Raw genomic sequence first — 16341 nt, 5'->3', positions numbered from 1 at the left:
ACCACCATGCCTGGCTAATTTTTGCATTTTTAGTAGAGACAGGGTTTCACCATGTTGGTCAGGCTGTTCGCAAACTCCTGACCTCATGATCCACCCGCCTCGGCCTCCCAAAGTGCTGGGATTATAGGCGTGAGCCACTGCACCCAGCCAAAATGAGCATTCTTAAGTGGTAAATTTACTTGTATTAGCTATGTATAATACAAATATATATAGACAGAGAATGTCTATACTTTTAAATACCTTTGAAAAGATATTTCAGACTGTAAATCAGTAAAAATATAGTGATTTATTATATATTCATTTATTTATTTATTAGGTACCTAACTAGGCCAGGACCTTGCGCTAGAGTGGTAAACAAAAAAGATAGGCTTTGCCTTTAGGAATCTTGTAGTATGAAAACCATGTTTCAGATTGTGCCAGAAAGACATCCCATGTCCATGGATCAGAAGACTCAATATGGTTGAGATGGTAGTATTCTTCAAACTGGTCTACAGCTGTGGAATTGAGATTGAGGTTCTTTTTCTTGCATGTGTATGTCCACTTGTCCCAACACTGTTAAAAAGACTGTCCTTTCTTGGATTGTCTTTAGATCTTTGTCAAAAATCAGTTTGCCCTATTCATGTGGATCTATTTCTAGACTCTGTTCTGTTCTGTCCATCTATGTGTTTATTCCTTTACCTCTTGTTAGGTTCATACACGTCTAAGATTGTTTTATCTTCATGATGAACTGACCCTCATGGTTCGCTGTGTCTTTCTTCTCCTGTGCACAGAATGGGCAGTGATATAGTTTGGATGTTTGTCCCTGACAAAATCTCATGTTGAAATGTAATCCCCAGTTTTGGAGGTGGAGCCTGGTGGGAGGTGATTGGATCATGCAGATGGATTTCTTATGAATGGTTTAGTATTTGTGAGAAATGGTTTAGCACCCCTTGGTGCCATCCTTGCAATAGTGAGTTCTCCCGAGATTTGGTAGTTTAAAAGTATGTGGCACCTCCCCCATCTCCCTCTTGCTTCTGCTCTCACCATGTGAAGTGCCTGCTTCCGTTTTGCCTTCCACCATGAATAAAAGCTCCCTGAGACCTCCCCAGAAGCAGATGCCCCATGCTTCCTGTACAGCCCACAGAACCATGAGCCAACTAAACCTCTTTTCTTATAAATTACCCAGTCTCAGATATTTCCTTATAGCAAATATGAGAATGGCATCATAACAGTCAGTGCTTTAGATACAAGTTGCTTGAGTAGCCTGGTTTCTAGAGGGAAGATAACACAGAGCAGAACCACAGCCGGCCAGGGGTGGACACAAGGCATGGACAAGAAGCAAACGTTTGTTGTAATAAGCCACTGAGATGTTAATGTTGTTTGTTACCAGACCATAGGGGCCAAGCTCTGGGCCCAATCCATTCTAGGTCGTAGGGGCCTGCCCTTTATTTTTCATCAACAGGAGCCAACAAGGGCACTTTTCCTACATTAGAAACCCAGAAGAGGTGGAGAAGGTAAGAGAGGTGAACAAGTGGCTGGAGATAAAGGACAAGCTGTTCAGCTCTTGGCCCCTTGCTTTTGATGAAACTCAGTTTCTATTAGGCTCCTCTGTCTCTGTGGCCCCTTCTCATAGAGTTTAAGGATATCATTGGCAGGTTCTTCTGAGGCAGGGATGCTAACTGTCAGTGCAGGTTCAGGCTATCTCCACTAAGACCGGCTTGTAATACCTACTGCTTATGATTCTTAGCTATCCTCTGAGTTGCCATATCTAGAGATCTGCCCCATTTCCTGTCCTTCATGACTCTACATCAGGTCACCTGATATAGGTGGGAGAGTGGGAGAGTGGATATTATTACAGAATTTGCCCCTGATATTAATTTAGTCATGATTTTTTTCAGGCAAAGTATACAGAGAGTTTAGCAAAGTAAACAGAGAAAATTTATATGAATGAGCAAAATTCAAGGCTAAACTTGAAGGGGAAAGGCAAGACCTGGGTGTGGAGAGGACAGAGTGGCCAGGTTTTTTGTTTCAAAAATGTCAATGTGATAAAATATCTTCACCAGTAATGTTTATAGTAATGATAAAAGAGGGCACCCCAAACTTTGGTGTTTTTTTCTAGTAAAAATGATGGTTACATCGAACTCACTTGCAGATTCCTCCCCTAGCTACATCATCTGACTTCCTGAAATTATTGTAATTATATGAAGAAGAAATAATGCTAATGAAAGCCGTTCAAACAGGTGAATAATATTAAACATCGCAATTATTGAGCAGTTATGTGTGCCAGACAGAGTCCAAAAAGCTTGATACGAATTAATTCATTTAATCTTCACAAATAACCCTATGAGGTGTACACATTGTTATAATCCCCATCTGACAGGTGGACACCGAAGTCATTTGCTCAAGGTCACAGCTGGATGATAGGAGAGCTTTGAACACGGCAGTTTGATTCTAGCCTGCTCTTAAACACAATACATGGAAGGTTGTCTTTCTTTGTAGGTAGAAATGGTGAAATAGTACCTGGTTAAAAAGAAACTAGGCCAGGTGTGGTGGCTCATGCCTATAATCCCAGCACTTTGGGAGGCCAAGTCGGGTGGATCACTTGAGGTCAGGAGTTCAAGACCAGCCTGACCAACATGGGAAAACCCTGTCTCTACTAAAAGTACAAAAATTAGCTGGGTGTGGTGGCATGTGCCTGTAATCCCAGCTACTCGAGTGACTGAGGCAGGAGAATCGCTTGAATCCCCGAGACAGAGGTTTCAGTGAGCCGAGATTGCACCACTGCACTCCAGCCTGGGTGACAGAGTGAGACTCCATCACACACACGCACACACACACACACAAAAGAAACTGAAACTTAATCAGCTCACAGAAGAGCAAATCCAGTGGCCCGCCCTCCCTCCCAGACAAGAATGACTGGATGGTTAAATTCACTGGTAGTCAGGGAAATAAAAATTTTAAAAATAAAAATGGTGATGAGATATCACTTTACATCCATCAGACTGACAAAAAATTAAAACTATTGATAACTTATGGCAGAGATAGCGAATAGTTATGAAAATTTAAAGTGTATACACATATAATATGCCAACCCAGCAGTCCCATTTTTGGGATTCTATTCCATGGAAATAAAAGCACTGTTGAATATATAAGGATATTTATTATAGTCCTTGTATTGCCAAATTTAAAAAAAAATCCCAGAAAACAAATGAATACCCATTATTACAGGTATCTTCTATGGAATATGATGCAGCCTCTAAAACTCATGAATTTGAATTATGCCAGATGACATGGAGGGACCTCATAGGTCCTGTTGAAAGAGAAATGCAGGGTGCAGCAGTGTGTATCATATGATCCCACCATCCCGCTCGTTAAAAACAGTGACCCTGGCCGGGCACGGTGGCTCACGCCTGTAATCCTAGCAGTTTGGGAGGCCGAGGTGGGCAGATCACCTGAGGTCAGGAGTTCGAGACCAGCCTGACCAACATGATGAAACCCTGTCTCTACTAAAAATGCAAAAATTAGCCATGCATGGTGTCATGCACCTGTAATCCGAGCTACTCTGGAGGCTGAGGCAGGAGAATTGCTTGAACCCGGGAGGCAGAGGTTGCAGTGAGTCGAGATCACACCATTGCACTCCAACCTGGGTGACAAGAGCGAAACTCCATCTCAAAAGAAAACAAAACAACAGTGACCCCCACCTTCAAAAAGAAAACCTGTGCATGAACAGGAATTTATATATAATTATATATATGTATATATACTTCACCTGTTTAAGGGGTACAATTATATATATATATATATATATAATCTGGTTTTAGTAACACATAGGAAAAAATGTATATATGAGGCTGTTATATGGAGTGTGTGGAATTGCTGACATGAGGGGAGGAGGGAACCAAGCAAAAAAGAGAAGGAAGAAAGACAACTGAAAAAGATACATCTATCTGCTTATGGTTACGTATTTCTACAATGCTCTGTGTGGGTGCAGATATAGCTAAATAGTGTTTTTCAAAGATTGGAAAGCAACATATGGTTAAAATGATCACATCTGAAACCATAGGCTTGGCTTGGACCAATCTCCCCACCATCCTCCTGTGGTCTGCATTTGCCTGTGTTTATGTTTAGCTTGCAGAATGGCATCAGACAGGGCAGCCTTTTTCTCCCTCCTCCATTGCCATACTTAAAGTAAAGACTCCAGAGCTCCAAAGAGATGGACCTGTTCAGGTGGTTCATAAGCATCAGTAAGTGAGAGTACAGATATGGCAGCATAGTCCATCTCCAGGCAAGGGAATGACTCAAAGACAAAACCACTGGGTCATCCCTATTAGAAGGGAAAGCAGTGGCTGGGTGCGGTGGCTCTTGCCTGTAATCCCAGCACTTTGGGAGGCCAAGGCCGGAAAATCACCTGAGGTCAGGAGCACAAGACCAGCCTGACTAACATGGTGAAACTCCGTCTCTACTAAAAATACAGAAAATTAGCTGGGTGTGGTGGCAGGCATCTGTAATCCCAGCTACTTGGGAGGCTGTGGCAGGAGAATTGCTTGAACCCAGGAGGCAGAGGTTGCAGTGAGCTGAGATCACGCCATTGCACTCCAGCCTGGGTGAGAAGAGTGAGACTCCGTCTCAAAAAAAAGAAAGAAAAAAAGGACAGCAGAGCAGAAGTGGCAGAGTATCTGCCAATCTGTGGTCATTTCAGTTTTTATGAATCACATCAAAATGGAACCACCCCCATCTTCTTCCAACACAATGCACTGGTTTTTATAGACTTAACAAGAGAAGCAAGTCAAAAAGTAAATATTCCTATTGCTGAGTGCAGTAACACCCTAATTTTACACGGCATGTATGTGTATGGTTCTGAATATGAGAATCCCCTGAAACATTCAGACTGCTTCTCTGTAGTTGAATGAGGGGGACAGACAGTATAGCTTTGGGTGAGGATGAACTAATCTACTCCAACAGTTAAGCGTGTCTAAAGAGTAAGATAGATGACTTTCAGTTAACAGGACAGGGATATTTCATAATCCAAACCACACTTGTCACTATGTGTAAGCGATCACTGCTGTGTCACCAGAAGGTTGTTTGTTTTAGTAGACTCATGGTTGGTGGGCACACAAGGAATGGGTTGAGTTCTTACTCTGGGTCTCCTGATGTTTCCCTGTCCCCGGCTTACCCAACAGACCTCAGAACAGATAAAGATGCTTATGTCGTTGTTGTTGTTTTTGAGACAAACTCTCACTCTGTCACCCAGGCTGGAGTGCAGTGGCACAATCTTGGCTCACTGCAATCTCTGCCTCCTGGGTTCAAGTGATTCTCCTGTCTCAGCCTCCCAAGTAGCTGGGACTATAGGCGCGCACCACCACACCCAGCTAATTTTTGTATTTTTAGTAGAGATGGGGTTTCACCATGTTGGCCAGGCTAGTCTCGAACTCCTGTCCTCAAGTGATCCACACGCCTCAGCCTCCCAAAGTGCTTAGATTACAGGCGTGAGCCACCGTACCCAGCCAAAATGCTTATGTTATACGTTATTTAAAAAGAATACCAGTAGTCCACTATTGGAATAAGATTTGTACTTTCAGTCATTCCTAGGTTTCAATTCTGGTTGACTTTAACATCAGTGATTCATAGTTGTTGGCCGTAGAACCATGTCAATATATAGAATGCCATTGCCCCTGTGGGTAATATCAGTTGAGTTTTAAATGTTTTGATAGAGGGCATAGATTTGTTAGAGGAGAAAGTCAAATATTTAATTCCTTAGGTGGGAACATGTGAAACCATGCCAGTGTTTTTTACTTAATATTGGCAGTATCACTATGAAAGTACCCAGTGCAGTTTTTTCATGAGCTCTCTTGTAAATAATATGGTGCCCTTTACAGTAATGTAATTTTTTTAAGCTTACAAGGTTCTGATTGTTATGATACATTTTATTAGATATGTACAAATTTTCAGGAAATGTCAACAGAGGCTTTATCATTATGTGACTCTTTAATCTGATTTCTAGGCAGAGTTTATTAGGACTGGCTTTTAAAAAATTAATAGCTTTATTTACTTACCATACAATTCACCTATTTAAGCTGTACAACTGGATGGTTTTTAGTATATTCACAGATTTGTGCATTCATCACCACAATCAATTTTCGAGCATTTTCATCACCAAAAAAAAAAAAAAAAAACTACTAGCAGCCACTGACTTCCAGATTCTACCTCTACTCCCAGCCCAGTCAACCACTAATCTACTTTATGTCTCTATAGCGTTGCTTTTTCTAGACTTTTCATACAAATGGAATCACACACTATGTAGCCTTTGGCATCTGGCTTCTTTCACTTAGGGTGATGTCTTCAAGGTCCATCCCTGTTGTAGCATGCATCCATACTTCCTTTTTCTGCCAAATAATGTTTCATTGTTTGTATAGACCGCATTTCGTTTATCCATTTATCAGTTGATGAGTATTTGGCTTATTTCCACTTTTTGGCTTTTGTGAATAATGCTGCTATGAACATTTGTGTATAATTTTTTGTGGCAAGGTCTGGCTTTTTAGTGACTCAGTTGCCCTTTTAAATACCCGTGATATCATAGCTAAATAGGACTCCCAGATGTCCTCTTGCTTGGCACCTTCTGTTTAGGCACATGAAGTATCTGGATTGCCCAGAGAGGGAAAGTGGCTTCCCTGGGCACACACAGCTAGAGAGCGGAGTGGGGCCCTGCCTCCAGGTTTCTTGCTCACAGGTTCAATGCTTTACCTATTAGTGCGGACACATGAAGACTGAAGAAGACCTAAGGTCTGCAATATGCAGCTTTGTGAAAGCCTTGCAGTCTTTTCCTGTTTGCTGTTTCTTCTGTTTTACCACTTACAACAGTGTGGTCTCGTCTGAAAGCAAAAGAACATAAGAGCTGGAATGTTTCTGAGAGATTTTCTAGTCACATATCCTCATTATACAAGTGAGGAAACTAAGGTGCTGAGAAGGCATGTGATGTCTCACCCAAGATCACACTGTTAGGGGCAGAGCAAGGACTGGAACTTTGGTCTCCCTGCTCCAGGTCCCGGTCCTCATCTACCCTGTTAGGACAAGCATCTGTTACCCAGGGACTGCATGAAGGATGGCACTGAGCCATTTTGTGTCTCTTCTCTAATAGAATCCCGTCACGGGGCTGCTGTCAGCCAGCCATGAGCAGAAGGATGCCTGGGTGCGGGATAACATCTACAGTATCCTGGCCGTGTGGGGCCTGGGCATGGCCTACCGTAAGAATGCAGACCGCGATGAGGACAAGGCCAAGGCCTACGAGCTGGAGCAGGTAATAGTGACTGACAGCTGTATCTCGGCTGCTCAGCCACCTTCTCCTTGAACTGAAAAACCCACAGAGAAGTAGCTGTGTGTGCAGAACTGTTTGGGTGTAGGCCTCTCCTCTATTTCTGCTATAGAATATTTTGGGGAGGTACTTAGATTATCTCAACCTCACATTGGTCTTTCTGTTTGAGTTTGGAGATTCCCACATAAAACAATGACAACATCCAAAATCACACCAAATAGAAAATGAAAGCAACCACATTTCTTTTTTTTTTGAGATGGAGTCTCACTCTGTCACCCAGGCTGGGGTGCAGTGGCGCGATCTCAGCTCACTGCAACCTCCGCCTCCCGGTTTCAAGTGATTGTCCTGCCTCAGCCTCCCGAGTAGCTGGGATTACAGGCGACTGCCACCACGCGCAGCTAATTTTGTATTTTTAGTAGAGACAGGGTTTTACCGTGTTGGCCAGGCTGGTTTCGAACTCCTGGCCTCAAGTGATCCGCCCACCTCAGCCTCCCAAAGTGCTGGAATTGCAGGCCTGAGCCACCGCACCTGGCTGCATCCACATTTCTAACCCCAAAGTGTCAATTTGTATAATTAGTTACATTTCTTTCACACGTACTTTATCCATTTTGTACATATTTATACACAAGACATCATCATAAACTGATATGTTTTTTAAAAGTCACCTCACCACAGCTTCACATTCCAAAGCATGTACTCTTCAGAGTAGTCACACTGGAAGGATATTTATCCAAACATTATTGCCACTGCTTAAAATATTTTTGAAACTTCCCTTAAAAATACGTTTCTAATTTGAACCATTCCAGGAAAGCAATCTTATTAATTTATGGTCACCCTTTAATTTTGAACCAAATTGGTGTTATCCAATTTGGGGGCCTATATTATTCACCATACAGGACAATGAAGTCCTTTTATTGTTTTCCAAAATCCAGAACCAAGATACCTACCAAAGATTTGCCATCACTGAGTTTGTAACAAAATAATCTGTCCCTGAACACAGGAGGTATTTTCCAAGTGTTTTGAGTGGTAGCATTGAAGTAGAGAGCACTGAAATATAAAAATCATTCTCTTGGCATGAGAGCCCTTGGGATTTATCTTTGATTCAGACATTCTTCGATGGCCTCACGGTCAGTGGATCGTCTGTGACATGGTGTCTCATGTATTAACGTAGCATTATTGTTGTTATTTATAATGAGGATAATAAGACTAGTAATTGGTTACAATAAATCCTATTATTCAGAAACCTTGGCTGTCACTTGCATTTTGTTAGAGCTTTACTCGGTAATTCAGTGATGGTTTCACAAATGGCCATGTTGGCAAACATTACTTTTGGGCAGGCGTGGTGGACTTAGTGTAAGAAAAATAAATTACCAAGAAATGTGACATAAAGCTCCAGAGTACTACACTTACAGAAATTGTGTTGCTAAGATGTCAACGAGGAGTCACTGAATTTCAGAGGTGGCAGATATCATCTGATCCAACCCCTTTATTTGAGATAAGTCACTTTGTCGAGATTTTTCTTTCTTTATGATGGAGTGGAGAGGACATGAACCATCAGAACACTCACGTAGGCTCGGGACTGGCCTTTCCAGGGCAGTTGCTGGGCAGCACTGGCTTGCCAGCCACAGTGATCAGGAGGTGATTTTCCTGCAGCAAGGACCCTGGGCCGTGTTGCTGATTCTGCTTTATCTCCACAGAACGTGGTGAAGCTGATGCGAGGTCTTCTCCAGTGCATGATGAGACAGGTAGGCAGAACCCACACACGTGTTTGCCAAGTGGGCATTCCATGTCATTGTAATTGTGACAGTTAACATGCTTAAGACGTTTTGTACTTTTCTTCTCAAGAGGAAGAGAAATTGAAAATATTTTGCTTACTTTCTCTCTCTCTTTTTTTTTTTTTTTTTTTTTTGAGACAGGGTCTCACACTGTCACTCAGGCTGAGTGCAGTGGTGCGATCATGGCTCACTGCAACCTCAAACTCCTGGGCTCAAGTGGTTCTCCCACCTGAGGTGTGTACCATTCACCTGGCCTTTTTTTTTTTTTTTTTTTTTTTGTAGATACAATATCTCACTATGTTGCCCAGGCTGGTCTTGAACACCTGGGCGCAAGTGATCCTCCCACCTTGGCCTCCCAAAGTGCTCGGATTACAGGTGTGAGGAGTTACCATGCCCAGCTACCTTCTCTTTTTAAAATTATTTTCAGTAACTTTACTATTGTATCACAGTCTCAAAGGACAGTTTCTGAGAATCTCTTTTGAAGAGGTACATGGATAAAAGGAGAAACATGCTTTTTTTTTAATGGAGAAGAAAACATTTTTTTTTAAAAGCCACGTCTAGAAAGCCATATATTATTGTTTATTCCATCATGTTTGTAAAAGGGTATATTTTCATTGAGATGAAATGCTTGAGTTTTAAAAACTTGATATTATTGTTTAGTGGTATTTTCAGTGAGGGGTAAATAAAACAATTCATTGAGCATGTACTGCACACAGAACATTATACTAGGATCTGCACAAATTCAAAGACGAAGACAAAACAGTCCTCACTCTCAGTCAGCGCAAGAAAAGACATAGTTGCTCTTTTCCTTTCAACATTAAGAAACAAGAAATTGAAATTTAAACAGGTTCCTTTCCTCCCCTCCTTTTCTCCCTTCTTCCCTCCCTCCATCTCTCCTTGAGTATCTACCGTGTGTCACAGCTGGGGATATGTAGACAAGGACACCCTTTGTCATGACCCGTCACTCCTGCAGATGAGACTCCCCCCAGGCTGGGACATTTTAGGCAAGTGGGCGAAAAGAATCCCCAGCACAGTCCCTCTGTGCGGTGCTGCCTAGCAGCTGCCTTCCATCCCTCTGGCTCCCAGAAGTAGCAGATAAGAGCTCTAGATCCAGGTGGCTGGCCATGGCCGTGATCTCTGCCAGCCATGAACCCCCATAACTATGCAGAGCGGGCTTGCCTTCTCCCTCAGGTGGCCAAAGTGGAGAAGTTCAAACACACTCAGAGCACCAAGGACAGCCTGCACGCCAAGTACAACACCGCCACCTGTGGCACGGTGGTGGGCGACGACCAGTGGGGCCACCTCCAGGTGGATGCCACCTCTCTCTTCCTCCTGTTCCTGGCCCAGATGACCGCCTCAGGTGAGCTGGGGTTGCTGGAGCCCATTGTATAAGGAGTGACAATCCGGAAAAGGGGTGGGAGGAGGACAGGTAGCGGCCAGTGTGTCAGGCCATGTGCTGCTTCACTGCTTTAATAAAATACCTCAGACAAGGCCATTTATACAGAACCGAAATGCTTTTTCTCGCAGTTCTGGAGGCTGGGAAGTCCATGACCAAGGCACTACCAGGCTCAGTTGTCCAGTAAGGGCTCCATCCTCCAAAGAGGAGGACTGCTGTGCCCTCCCATGGGGGAGACCAGAAGGGCAAGAGAGCCAGAGGCTCCACGAAGTGTGTTTTGTAAGAGCCTTCATCCCATGTAGGATATGTAGGATGGGAGGAGTCCTCAGGGCCTAATCGCCTCTTATGGCCCCACCTCTTAATACCATCACATTGGCCACACCTCAATTTTGGAGGGGACACATTCAAACCGTAGCAATCAGTATTATAAATCAGCAGTTTACACAAAAGAAAAGCATGCTTCTCCATATTCTGTGCATTTGTTTCTGCAATAGGGCAGGGAGTGCAGGGACCCTGCCTGTAACCTGCAGAGAGGACAGTCACCCTCCACCTGGGCACCAGCAGGGTAAAGGCCGTTGAGCTGGCTCTCTTAGCTTCCCTCTGTTGAACACAGAACCCCTTTACTGTCACTCTCTCCTAGTTCCTGGAGCCACCTAGGTCTGGTCTAACTTTGACACTTAGCTGTCTGCAGACCATCTCACCCCTGCTCTTAGACTTTTCTCCTCCAGGATCAGCAGCCCTGTCCTTTCAGCTCTCCCACTCACTACCCTGGTCACCCTCTTCTAGACACACCCTCACTTTTCCAAATTATATTTGAGCACCACCATTTCTGCCACTCAGCAGTGTGCCCAGAGCGGGCTGAGCAGCCCGCTACTCAGCGGGCTGAGTAGGCTCACAGTTTGTCGGCGGTGTGCCTTGTTCCCATTGAAGCCAGAGCCGCTGGCCTCTGTGGCAGCCTGGACGCCAGGCCTCTCTCTTTCCCACTAGGGTCTCACACCAGGTGGTCTCTCTCTCACAATGGCATGTGCCACAGATGCTCCCCCAGGTTAGGGCACTTAACGGCTATGTCTGGGAGTTCTTATCACCTACCAGTCCAGTCAACTGATGTGTCTGAGGCCTCCCATTCATTGCAGACTGCAAGTGTGAAACTCTCAAAATCCCAGAAATCAGTAAGCAGTATTGTTATGGCTGTGTGAATAAATCACACATTTATGAAGTTACGTTTTGGCTATGAAAGTTAATATGAGCTCACTGTAGATATTTTGGAAAATATAACAGAATACAAAGAAAAAAATTCCACTGCCAACTTTCATTTGGCTGCATCTTCTCCAAGTCTTTTTTCCTGTGCATTTTTTACATGTTTAAGGTCACATTGTACACATAAACATAGTCTTTTTATTACGTAGCGTTATAACAAGCACTTCTCCCGTGATATAACAAGCTCTTCATAAACATTATTTTAGTGAGTTTATCAGTGGGTATACCATAATTAATTTAACTATTCCTTCCTTCTTTTATTTTGCTACTATAACTAATGTTGCAATACCAACTTTGACCCCATCTTCATTTACTTCCTTCTGAGAGTTAGATATCACTCAAAGGCAACTCATATATATTGCCAAATTGTTTTCAGTTTCTAGTTAAACTTAGTTCTGATTGAAATTCTAATCTGGCTTACTAGTTAAGCTGCCCTCATTGATGTAAGAGTCCATTTCCTATCATATCCATAGCAGCTTCCAGAATTCATACTTTAAAAATACCTGTATTTGTTATAACTGACTATATTTTTCTGCAGGGTGGAAGGCCAGCTCCTGGAGCTGGGGACTCCCTGTCTCCCACTGGGAAAAGTATTCACCCTTCTCTTTGGCTCTCTCAAAGATAGAGACAGTGTCTCTGGTTCTTCTGGACTAAAATCCTTGCTCTGTTGGAACCTTCCCCGCATCAATCCAACCTGTACCAGAGGTCCCAAATCTCTCTCATCCCTTTCTACTCATAGGCACACACAGGAAAGTGGAGCCCTTCCTTTCCTTCTCCTTATTTTCCTTCCTTCCCTCCTTCCTTCCCTCTTTTCGGAGATTAGACACTCACTGTTATGCCTTACTTAAGACTTCATTTTTGATGCCTTTGGAAGAAAAATGAAAATGAGGGTAAAAGGGTTTATTTCCTAGTGTGATATTTGTAATTTGTGACTGGCAGCTCTCTGCAACATGGCTTCATAACCTCATTGTTTTTCTTTGCTAGGCTTACGTATCATTTTCACTCTCGATGAGGTGGCCTTCATACAGAATCTTGTCTTTTACATAGAAGCTGCATATAAAGTCGCTGTAAGTATCAACCCTGGTAGTCTTTTCAGATGTTCCAGTCAACAAAAAGAATAAAAATCATACAGTGTTTTGAGGGCCAGGCTGTTTGGGGCTCACCAAAAGGTTAGCGAGACTAGCGCTATGAGATTGTGTCACCTCCACACACAAACTGCATATTTTTGTCCTGGAATAGAGTTGGGGGTTTCAGGTTTTTGGAATGTACTCTGTGCTCTGTCTGAATCCATTATGCTTGTTATATTTTTTTATTTATTTTGTTTATTTATTTATTTTTAAACAGAGTCTCGCTCTGTCACCCTGGCTGGTGTACAGTGGCATGATCTCAGCTCACTGCAGCCTCTGCCTCCCAGGTTCCAGTGATTCTCCTGTCTCAGCCTCCTGATTAGCTGGGATTACAGGTGCCTGCCACCACTCCCCGCTAATGTTTGTATTTTTAATAGAAACGGGGTTTCACCATGTTGGCCAGGCTGGTCTCAAACTCCTGACCTCAGGTGATCCTCCTGCCTCGGCCTCCCAAAGTGCTGGGATTATAGGCGTGAGCCACCACTCCTGGCCCATTATGCTTGTTTTATTTTATTTTATTTTTAATTTTTTTATTTCCATAGGTTATTGGGGAACAGGTGCTGTTTGGTTACATTAAAGTCCTTTAGTGGTGATTTGTGAGATTTTGGTGCACCCATCACCCGGGCAGTATACGCTGCACCCTATTTGTAGTCTTTTATTCCTCTCCCGCTTCCCACACTTTCCCCCTGAGTCCCCACAGTCCGCTGTGTCATTCTTATCCCTTTGCATCCTCATAGCTTAGCTCCCACTTAGGAGTGAGAACATATGATCTTTGGTTTTCCATTCCTGAGTTACTTCACTTAGAATAACAGTCTCCAGTCTCATCCAGGTCGCTGCAAATGCCATTAATCCATTCCTTTTTATGGCTGAGTAGTATTCCATCATATATATACCACAGCTTCTTTATCTACTCGTTGACTGATGGGCCTTTGGTTGGTCCCATGTTTTTACAGTTGTGAATTGTGCTGCTATAAACATGCATGTGCAAGTGTCTTTTTTGTCTAATGACTTCTTTTCCTCTGGGTAGTTACCCAGGAGTGGGATTGCTGGATTAAATGGTAGTTCCCATTATGCTTGTTTGAAATAAGATCCTAACATGTCCTACGGGATGCATATGTGCTGGCTTGAGTTGGGGCTAAAGAGGTAGCAGCATTAGCACCTTGGTGGGAGCTGGGATGCCATGAGCGTCGCCCCAACCAGGCCACAGGTAGAGGGGCTTGAGCCAGGCAGAGCCCCAGCCTGGGCCAGATTTGCTGAGTATAAATGTGTATAAACCCCCTTTCCTCCGAGCTTCTGTCTGGTTTGGAAGGCAAAGCCTGAGGCACCTTTACACAACAACCCCAGTGTGTAAAGCTCTCAGGGAAGGAGGGAAAAGGTAAAGGCTGGTTTTAAAAAAGCCACTATGGTCTAAAGGAAGGTCAGCAAAGGTTTTCTGTAAAGGGCCAGAGAGTAAATATGGTCGGCTTTACAGGCCCTAGGGTCTCTGTCGCAGCTACTTGGCTCTGCCTTTGTAGCATGAAAGCAGCCATAGACAACACGTAAATAAATGAGCATGGCTCTGTCCCAGATAGACTTTGCAAAAATAGGTGGGAAACTAGATTTGTTCCAAAGACTGGGTGGAGTTCCCTGACCCCAGGTCTAAAGCAGTGATTCCCAACGAGAGGCAATCTTGCCCTCCCAGGAGACATTTGGCGATGTCTGGAGACATTTTTGGTTGTCGCACCTGGTCAGTAGGTGTTCGTGGCATCTAGTGAGCCAAGACTAGGACTGCTGCTAGACATCCTACAATGCACAGGCCCCCCTCCCCCCACCCCAATGACTCAGATTACCTGGCTCGAAATGGAATAGTGCTGAAGTTGACAAACCCTGGTCTGAAGAAACTTGAGAAGTCTTTGTGGAAAGGGTGGGCATTGAGTTGGACCTTGGAAGCTGAGCAGAGTCTAGATCAGCAGAAGGGAGGAGATAGGGAGTTTGGGTGCAGGAATAGCTTGTGCAGTCCCAGAGGCAGGAACAGGCTCTGAGTGTGGCTGGGTGGGCTAGGGGGTGCTTGAGGAAAAGGGTACAGAGGAAAGGAGTAGATTTAGGAGGAAAGCTGACATTGGAAAAGAGTAGAACATAAGTGGATCTTATGTTCCACTCTCAGCTTGTGGGTGTGTCTAAGGAGGCCAAATCATGGGGCATATGGCCATTCAGAGAGAGAGATGTGAATGTGATCCACTAGGAAATACACCACTTGTCATTTTAGACCCTGAAACAAGGGGAAGCAGCAATCAAAGCAGTTTTTGAGGATGAATCACCCAGTGCCGGGGTTGGAGGAAAGGTGGGTTGGGCTGCAGGAAGGCGCAGATGAGAAGAGTGCTCAAGGGAAGAAGCCCAGGCTCAGTCACCAGGCACGCTCAGCAGGGAAGTTGCTCTAGGATGCCCGAGTCTCAATCTCTATATTTTGAAAATGTTCTGGCCAGGCGCGGTGGCTCATACCTGTAATCCCAGCACTTTGGGAGGCTGGGACAGGTGGATCACCTGAGGTCAGGAGTTTGAGACCAGCCTGACCAATATGGTGAAACTCTGTCTTTACTAAAAATACAAAAATTACCTGGGTGTGGTGGTGTGCGCCTGTAATCCCAGCTACTCGGGAGGCTGAGGCAGGAGAATTGCTTGAACCTGGGAGGTGGAGGTTGCAGTGAGCTGAGATCGCGCCACTGCACTCCTGAGCAACTAAGCCAGACTCCATCTCAAAAAATAAAAATAAAAAAAAAGAAAAAAAGAAAATATTCTTTTTTGGAGATAAAAAATAAAGATTGAAATGTTGGCATCAGTCTTGTGTGTGTTGGGTGGTCAGCTTTCAGTAGTACACATAGAATTGTTTAAAACAGCATCCCATATGTGGATTTTTTAATGAAAATATGAATTATACATTAGGTACACATGTATCAAGTCCTCTGGGTGCCAGCATTGTGAGCCAATCCCTAGTAATCGGTTTGTAAATACCACGTAGGTTCAGTGTTCTGTGTCTCAGTTGTGACTTTGGCTCCAGTTACTTGCTGAGCATTTTTTCCCCAAGAGGTAATGCTAAAAATAAGTACTAAATTATTTTAAATGCTTTTGCTGGCTTTGACTAGTTATGACCCATGTGCTAAAGTTTCTGTCTTCCATTTTACAACATAATATAAGTTCAAAGGCATTGACTAGAGAGGCAGCATTTTATTCAATCTTAAGAAGATAAAATATTTTGTTCTCCATACATCCAGAGTTTCTTACAAATGAATACCTTCTAGAAATAAGAAATAAGAAATTTGAGAGTGTTGTGGCATGCACTTTTGTCCCACTTGAATATTTTCTTCTAAAATTCTGCACAGAGGTCGCATGAACTGAAATTGAGGAAGAGCACAGTATGAGTCTACAAAGCCTCCGAGAAGATCCACTTATGTTTCAGTGTGGCTGCAGGAACATAAAGGAAGCATTTTTCCCATAGCACTTCTTATATACCTCTTTCTCCCC

At 43.6% G+C, this 16341-nt stretch overlaps 1 protein-coding gene across 11 annotated transcripts in view; it reads left to right on the top strand.

Moving 5' to 3' along the window:
• Window positions 1-16341, top strand: part of PHKA2 (phosphorylase kinase regulatory subunit alpha 2) — a 91817-nt gene that overhangs the window by 22588 nt on the left and 52888 nt on the right. For 10 of the 11 annotated variants that reach the window (XR_950461.4, XR_001755697.3, NM_001440804.1 and 7 more), the window contains exons 2-5: window positions 7115-7273; window positions 8986-9033; window positions 10255-10423; window positions 12701-12783. Coding sequence is in view for 8 of the 11 variants with exons in the window: in NM_001440804.1 (NP_001427733.1) it covers window positions 7115-7273; window positions 8986-9033; window positions 10255-10423; window positions 12701-12783 (459 nt within the window). In the remaining 3 variants the exon portion in view is untranslated. Of the gene's footprint in view, window positions 1-7114; window positions 7274-8985; window positions 9034-10254; window positions 10424-12700; window positions 12784-16341 lie in introns of those variants that run through there. The other variant, XM_047442166.1, reaches the window with a different exon arrangement.

The sequence above is a fragment of the Homo sapiens genome, chromosome X (assembly GCF_000001405.40).
Source record: "Homo sapiens chromosome X, GRCh38.p14 Primary Assembly".
Classification (NCBI taxonomy): Eukaryota; Metazoa; Chordata; class Mammalia; order Primates; family Hominidae; genus Homo; species Homo sapiens.
Note: the sequence above shows the minus strand (reverse complement) of the source record. Positions and strands in the feature narration are given on the sequence as shown.